At 34.4% G+C, this 8,525-nt stretch overlaps 2 annotated features.

The window, feature by feature from the left end:
- Positions 4,325–4,525: a silencer, noted in NCBI's record as "peak6711 fragment used in MPRA reporter construct". NCBI's record gives its function as "represses an SCP1 promoter by STARR-seq MPRAs in K562 erythroleukemia cells {active_cell/tissue: K562}" and the evidence as "EXISTENCE:reporter gene assay evidence [ECO:0000049][PMID:32103011]".
- Positions 8,325–8,525: a silencer, noted in NCBI's record as "peak6710 fragment used in MPRA reporter construct". NCBI's record gives its function as "represses an SCP1 promoter by STARR-seq MPRAs in K562 erythroleukemia cells {active_cell/tissue: K562}" and the evidence as "EXISTENCE:reporter gene assay evidence [ECO:0000049][PMID:32103011]".

Below are 8,525 nucleotides of genomic sequence, written 5' to 3'. Positions count from 1 at the left end.
AATCCCATTCATAAGGGCTGTGCCTTCATAAACTAATCACCTCCCAAAGGATCCCATCTCCAAATACCATCACTTTGGGAATTAGGATTTTAACATATAAATTTTGAGAGGGGACAACATAACATTCAGATCGTAGCACCAGTACTCTCACTCCCTACCTTTTAAAGCATTTAAAAGGCAAATGACACAGTAGGATGAAAAATGTTCATGGTTCCCCAATACAAGAGAATGGTTTACCTGAAAGAGCTAACCTCTCAATGGCTCAAACATTGACTCTTGGGCATCAATTAATTATGCAAGTGTTATATTTTGGAGTGGCTTATCAAGAAAACTTCAGAAGAGATATTCAATAGGAACAACAGTCTTGTTCTTGTCAATGTCCTCTTCAGGAGAAATACTCAGCTGAATCATTTCTTCAGGTTACTCCATACATACCTTTAGTTGCAGATCCCCAAGCATGACCCTTCTGTTTTTTTGTTTGTTTATTTTAATGCCACTGACATTTTGGAGCATCATATAGATGCAGACATAAAAATTATAAGCAGGATATGTAAATATAAGTCTGGCTGGAGTCAGATTTAATGTTTTTGAAGTACCTCACTTTGCTCAGCATTTTGTTCTGCCAATCCAGTGCATTTTAATTCACTCAGGCTAGTCAAGATATATCAGATACCATCTAAATACTGGGGATATAAAGATAAATAGGAAGCATTCAATTAATGTCTGCTGAGTTAACGGTTTCTTGAATTTAGGCTTTTAGATGATGTCTTTTTGATCATTCCTCGAGGCTTTGAACACCTTGAGTATCCAGAAGAAAGTCGTCCTTGCTTCTAGCCACTTCTCATCCTTTATCCCAATTCTGGCAGGTACCTTAGCTGTGAGTCCTTCTACAGTTCTGAAAAGTTGAGGCGCTGCCTTGGTGTCAGTGTCTAATTCCTATTTGATAATCTGCCTGGTTCCCATAAAACTGAGAGTCCACCTCCATTTTACTAGTAATTTTGCTACATTTGCTAGACTTTGGAATTGCACTCTTGAACCTCAGCCTTGGGCCTAGATCTCAGAAATAGCAGATAGAGTTAATCTATGGCTGACCACTCTCCTAGACTCCAAAACAGCCTATGCTTCCAGATCTCTTGTGTCTGTGCTTTGCCTGCCTTTCTTTCTCCTGTAAATAATTACAGAACATCCTTAGTCAGGACAGCTGTCACCCCCTCTACAAGCCTGTCGTTGGCTCTCTCCTCTACATGAAAGTGGGTCAACTTTGACGCTTCCCACTAGAATACATCTCTGTGTGATTCAATTCTTGTTCATGTTATAATGTAGAAACTATTCCATCTAATAAGAAATTTAAATATTGGAGTTGTCTTCCTCTGTTTCGTATTTTATATTTTGAAAATATCAAATATTGAGAAAAAGAAAGCTAGGTTTTTCTGTCTTTATTTGTAGATTATATATAGGGTTTGATATTATTGACCTTTAATTACGTACATATATATATATATATATATATATGTATGTATGTATAGAGAGAGAGAGAGAGAGAGAGAGAGAGAAAGTGCTCATTGGAAAAACATTCTTGTTTTTAAAATGTAGGTGTTGTTTTGACTTTGGAATCAAACAGATCTGGATTTTCATCTCAATTGATACCAGGTCAAGTTCATGAGCCTCCTAGAGCTGCAATTTAATATAAAGACTATATGAAACATGCATATTTGGTGCATATGTAATACCTGTTTAATGACAGCTGTTATTTTGATCCCTAGCTATTCATCATGGTTACTATTCTCGAAAACATACTGATTAATATATATTTCAATGGAATATTGACATAACAAAAAATAATTTTATCAATTAAAGAACTCATATTTATCCATCATTTTCACCATATATTCCTTGCATTGGGTTTTTTCAGTGGGTCCCAATAGATTTGTGCTCTTATTATGAGATGTTTTGACTTTTTTCATTTCAGAGCATTGAAGACTGGATCTCTTCAATGTCATCTAAACAGAAAGATTACTTTTTATATAGGTGTAAAGGCATCTAGTGATCCTCTTAGTAAAAGATTTTAAGCATAGAACTTAGAGCCAGAAAGACCAATCAAAAAACCTGTTTGGGTCCTGATTCTGAAGCCTGTGTTCTGAGACACTATGATATTTTAGACAAGTTCATTCAAGTCTTTAAGCTTCAATTTTATCATCTAGAAACTAAAAACAATAGCAAATACCTTACAACATTTTTAGGAAACAGTCAAATAATACAACGTAGGTAAAGATACTTATAAATGGTAAATAAGTTAATAATGTACTACAATTAAACTTTCTTTTTTACTATCAAATATAAATCTAAAGAAAAATTATTTAAGATAGCCAAAAAAGTAAAACTGAGTCAATACAGAAAATAAAAAGGGAGAAATTTGCATCTGTCATTGATGGAAAATTGATACTTTGAAGGAAGAGACTTTCAAATTTTCAATACGATAGATGAGGGAATATTTTCTGGGAACTTGGGATCTTTGCTCTAGAAGTAGCTTCTGATGCTGGCAGAAACTCTGGTATGTGTGTAATGATGGATTGGGATGTCCTTAAACACACAGGGAGCCATGAGGACCTTATTCCCAATCCAGCCATTGCAAAATTAATGGAAAGGCATCTGTTTCTGTTCATTTTCCTTATACTGGATGATGAAATTAAATGAGCCATGCCTTTTTTCCACCCTGAGGATATTCACTACAAAGGAAGCATTTTATTCTTCTTACAACTTGTGGCAAGAATAATCAGCCTTCACTTTTCTGTTCCCTCAAACTTTAAATATTAATGTCTGTAGCTCTGATGTTCAAAAGGTAAGCTTCTTGTGGCCTCTCTGAATCCCTGTGGCTGCCAGCAACACAGGAAGCATCTCACAGTTCTGACCCATGGTGCTCACTGTGTGCTACAGGGACAGCAATGAATTACCAAAACCTGTCTCCTACTCTACCTGTGTACTGAAATATTACATATAAAAGAGTTCATTATAACTAAATGAACTGAGTAGATAGTGTCACATGATTAGGTTCGGCCAATTCAATGCAGGAAGAAGTGCTCTGGTCCAAAAATATGCTCACACAATCTCTCTCCCCTGTCGGCCTACTGGATGCAGACCTTGAGCAGAGGACCTTAGGACCCTAGGTGACAAGTAGGTGACAAAATGAAAGGAGTACAAGTTCCTGCATTGCCACTACGAAGGCTGCCTGTCAAACACCTGCATGAGACTATTATATGGATGAGAAACAAATCTCTGTGGTTTTATACCACTAGGTTTTGGTTTTGTTTGCTACAGCATTTAGTTGATCTTAATATATTCTCTCAAAGATAACATTTGCCATAAGGGTATTCCAGGTTTGACTAAAGCTTAGATAAAATATCTTAGGCTCATGCAGTGCATCAGTGGAAAGGGATTAATTTCAGTTAGTCAATAACTCCAGAAGTAAACTATATTTGTTAGGTACTTGCTACATGAAAAGCTTCCAAGAATTATCTCTGAACTGGCCAATGAGAAAAGATAAAGGTAGTCCAGGCAGACTTCGTATATTCAAAGAAGAAAGATGAATTAATAAAATAAAACAAGTAAAAATACACAATTGTATTAATAGTTTATACTCTGAATTTGATGAGTAATGGTCAGCAGTCAGTTTGGAGTGTCTACGTCAGGGCAAAACTGCTGGTAGGGTCGAGAAGTCTGTAAGTTAACTGAAAAGCAGATGAACACTCATACTGAAGAGGGTTTAAGTTGTGAGAAGAACGAAGAACGAGTTACAACTTTCTCAGTCCTAGAATACCTGACGTTAAAAAAAAAAAAAATGGAGTAACTCCAGAAAGAGAACATTCACAGGCAAGAGCTGCTTTTTTAGTGATAGTTTATAAATAGTCCTAGTATCTAAAGTAAAATAATTAGGAGTCTGCTTTTGCTTTCAGTTTCTAAAAAATTTTCGTTACTAAAAGTGCCAGAAAGTAGAATAGGATGAATACAGAGGAATGTGCATCAGCATCAACAATGTCCAAGAGGTATGTGTGATGAATTCATATCCACAGTCTTACAATGGAAGAAGGAGAGAAAGCTATAGTAATTAGACTGAATAGTGTATACACATATTTGATCTCAAATTGAAAGACTTATGTAGAGTTTTAAGTTCACCTGGAAAAGTAATATTTAAAATTGCCTCAACAAAAATGTGAGAATTGATGGTCAATGACAGAGAAGTTAAATAAGGGAAGCAATTCAGGAATGTCTAAGGGTTGTTCATCCAGGGGTTGGAAAGTTTGGTTTTGGAATCCACGTTCCTGGTGACCTTGATTTCCTTTGTGTAGCATATCTGCTGGAAAGTGACAGAGGACAGACGGCTGCTTTCAAAAAGAGTCTGAGACAGCTGGTGAGATCACTGAACCCGGCAGGCAGTAAGGGAGGAAGAGATGGTTCTTGACCCCGGCAGGGCGGAGGTCAGAGCTGCAGCACCAGAGCTCTCATGGGTAAGTCTGCGTGGTTCCAGAGTTCCACGCTTCACTCCCTTCTAAAGATGTTTTATGCAAAAATGAAAGCAAGCAAGACTTGAAGCCAAGTCCCTACATTAAAAAAAGCATTACTATTTAAAAACCTTTTCTTTAATATCACAGCTAGGTTGTTAGTTATGAAAAGCATATTCATCAAAGTTATAATGGCATCATTTATATATCCTTGCTCTCTGTGTTCTTTATAAAAGCTCCTATGTTACTATATTTTTTATCTAAAATGCTCTCTGCTCAGTAAGCAATGCCCTTAAATGGAATAAATTGTCCTATCCATTGAAATAGAAGTTATATTATTCAAAGAAAACTTTTAGAAAATGAAATCTTTAAGATTAATTTCATGTGCTATGATAAATTACATTACTCTTCTAAAGAGGTTTGGCTTTTCTGGTGGAGTTGGTTCCTCAGGAGTAACTATACAGTTTTTGCATATATCATCTTTATCATCTTGCATCTATAGAGCCATGCACCACATAACAAGGTTTTTGTCAAAGACAGATCACATGTTTGACAGTGGTCTCATAGATTATAATGGCACACATATAGAAACCTGATATATGGCACTTGATATTGGCGTTGCAGATTAAATAAAAGAATTGTTGATATTCAGTAATGGTGCTAGGACATTTGGTTTTCTATATAATAGATATAAATAAAAATATATATGCCATCTAACATTCTATAATGTTTGCATAATGAGCAAATCATTTAACAATGCAGTTCTCAGAATGTATCCCCCATTGTTAAGTGACACACAACTGTATGTGTATATATATGTACACACACACACACACACATATATATACATAGGGATGATGACAGTGTGGCCTGCTGACAATATAAAACAAGGCAAAAATGAAAACTTGTCGGAGTCATACAAAAGAATGCTCTAAAAAGTCTCCTTAATTTAAAGCATGCCCTAAATTCTCCTTTCATATTCAGAATTAATTTGTTTTGCTACTTCCACAATGGTACCATGGGTTGGAGTTCTACTGTATATGATTGTCAGTGGAGATGTAGAGATCATACTCCATTCATTTGTCAATTTCTATAGCTAATGTCCACAGTTCACTTCATTAGTATTCAGGAAGGCATATGTGAGAATCTGTGGTATCTGTTTTGAAAAAAATGGGTTCTTTTGCACATTCATCATAGTAGTAGGATATGATTTATTTTCTTTGACATTCATATCAATATATTACCAATTATTTTTGATTTACAATGTATACAAGTGACTTCCCAAGATTTGTGATAATTTTAATAGATTGAGAAGATACATTATTTGTTTTTAATAGTTTGTAGTTCTTGTTTTATTTCTAGAGGAGTTTATTCTGTCCTTTGAATAATATTGCAGGATCCCTATTCCTCTAGAATCTCTATAATAGATATATATTTGGATATTATTCAATCTAGTTCATACTTATATGCAATATGAACATATATGCAGAACAAACAGATACACAAGAGCTTAAACTTACAAAGCAGATTAAAATATGGGGTGAACTAAACTTACAGCACGCAACTCACATCTTCCCACTCTTTACGATTGGGTAGAACTCACCAATAAGACATTAATTAGCCCATATGTTAGTTACTTCAAAAATCCACTCAACTGCTTAGCAACACCCTATTTATAGGAAATGATAAGGATCATTTAATACTTGCAAATTGTCCTTAGCACAGAGGAATTAGAATGTAGACTCAACTGTGACACCTTGCTACAAAAGATGGGTCAGTTGCTGAGAGATTTATCATTCTGTCCTATCTCAGTATTTTCCAAGAGTAGGTAAAAAAAAAATCTATTTTTTAAATGATCTGACAGCAAACCCATGTAACTATGCTCAGAAAAGAATAAAATCCTACAGTTAAATTTCATGGAAAATGTGACTAGTTGAATTCCTGTGTGCCATTACTAAATTAATATAGACTGAAACAAAAAGAAAGACAAAACTGGCATTTCAGATACTGACATTGCTACTGTCTCTCTAAAGACAAGCATCTGTAAGTTAAAATGTAACCAGAAAACATCATAAAATTGCTTCTTTTTAAGAACTACTCTATCTTGCCAATAAAAACTGACAAACTTTTTTTTTAGAACAAGTATAAATTTAACATAAAGCATTTAAAAATTCAGAAAAGTTCTTAAGAACTGGCATCTTTGGATGATGTACTAGAATTTCTTATTCTTTCTCCTGTGCATTTCAATGAACTTCCTCATTGTCTTGAATACTTCCTAAAAGCACCTGCACAGCTCAAGTGGCACTAACAGTAAAGGAAACCTGAAGGAATGGGCACTTTCAGAGTGAGTGGATTTTTCCTGGATTTATGAAGTCTTTTGTAGAATTTTCCTCAGAATAACCAACTCAAGGAAAAAAAAATACATGTTAATACAATATTGACAGAGATAACATTAACTGAGAAATTCTATTAATTAAATCATCAAGAAATATGATTCCTTAGTTACTGTTACTGTTTTTTTTAACCTACCAGAAAAATTAAGTTCCTTCAATGTGAGGCTTATTTTTCTTTATTTTTAGATCTTCTGGAATGCAAACAGAATTCATTATTTAGGCCAGTGTCCAATATATATTGAACAAATTTCAGTATATTGAAATTTCACAATGTTTCCTGGATTTTGAAGAATTATACTATAAAGGCCATTTCAGTCAACACATCTATATAATAAAACTTCAGCTCAAAGTATCAAAAACAACTTATTTCATAATGTTTCATAATGCTAGTGTCTATTTTTCCTACTGAAGGAAATATATACAGATTTTGTTTTTTAGGAGGCAGAAATTTCCCCAAAAAGCAGCCCTCTTTGGGGTAACAGCGGCTTTCAAACTGTTACACAATCCCAGCATTCCTTGGAAGCATCTCAGGGGCTGATGGAGAAGGGACCAAAGACCCATACTTCTGCTTTAACCAGAAAAATGGCACTTTAATATATTTTCCATATAATATGATCTTGTTTAAAAACATGTGAAAATCTAGCCTAATTAGTCTGGGCAAAGAATTTATGTCTAAGATTTCCCCCAAACAAAGAATGTCATTAAAAAATGGGAAAATGATATGAACAGACATTTTTAAAATGAAGACATACAAATGGCCACCAAGGATATTCAAAAGTGCTCAACATCACTAATCATCAGATAAATACAAATTTAAAACCACAATGAGATAACATCTTACCCTAGTCAGAATGTCTGTTATTGAAAAGACAAAAAATAAAAGACTTTGGTGAGGATGTGGAGAAAAGGGAAATCTTACACGTTTTTGGTGAGAATGTAAATTAGTACAACCTCTATGGAAAACAGTATGGAGATTTCTAAACAAACTAAAAGTAGAACTACCATTTGATCCAGCAATCCCAGTACTGAATATCTACCCAAAGGAAAAGAAATCAATATATCACATAGACAAAAATTTGTTTCCTATCATATTGAGTGGGGGACTTTGGGGGGCAAGGTTAATAGAATAAATATAACATTAATGTGGAAGTTCATAGATTTATATATATATGATTTTATATAATTATTTTAAGTCCTTTGTGTTAAATATAGCAGTTATTCTCTTTTTATTAATGAAAAACAATGATTCCTAAAAGTTGATTATATTGTTTCAGGTTGTATAGTTAGTATTTTGTGAAGCAGAGACTCAAACTCCAAACCTCTTACTTTAGGTTCAGCGCTACTTTCATGTCATTGTAGTCTTAGTACCATTCTGGATGTAGACAAGGATATTACCAATTGAGCTCTGCAATCAAATTGTCACATGCTTTTTTCCATGAAGATGAAGCAACCCTCAGTATAAAATGGGTTTTTCACAGATTTTAGGTAGTGGTAAGTGGGATTACTCATGTAGGCTGTGTAGATCATGAGAAATTATGTTTCCTGACCTAATCACCATGATGAACTCACTTAGTCATGGCAAGACAATATCTAATTCAAGATATGGTAAACATACTCTAGCAAGTGTAACCATAAG

The sequence above is a fragment of the Homo sapiens genome, chromosome 7, assembly GCF_000001405.40.
Source record: "Homo sapiens chromosome 7, GRCh38.p14 Primary Assembly".
Classification (NCBI taxonomy): domain Eukaryota; kingdom Metazoa; phylum Chordata; class Mammalia; order Primates; family Hominidae; genus Homo; species Homo sapiens.
The sequence above is the reverse complement of the archived record's forward strand: the minus strand, read 5'-3'. Positions and strand labels throughout refer to the sequence as shown.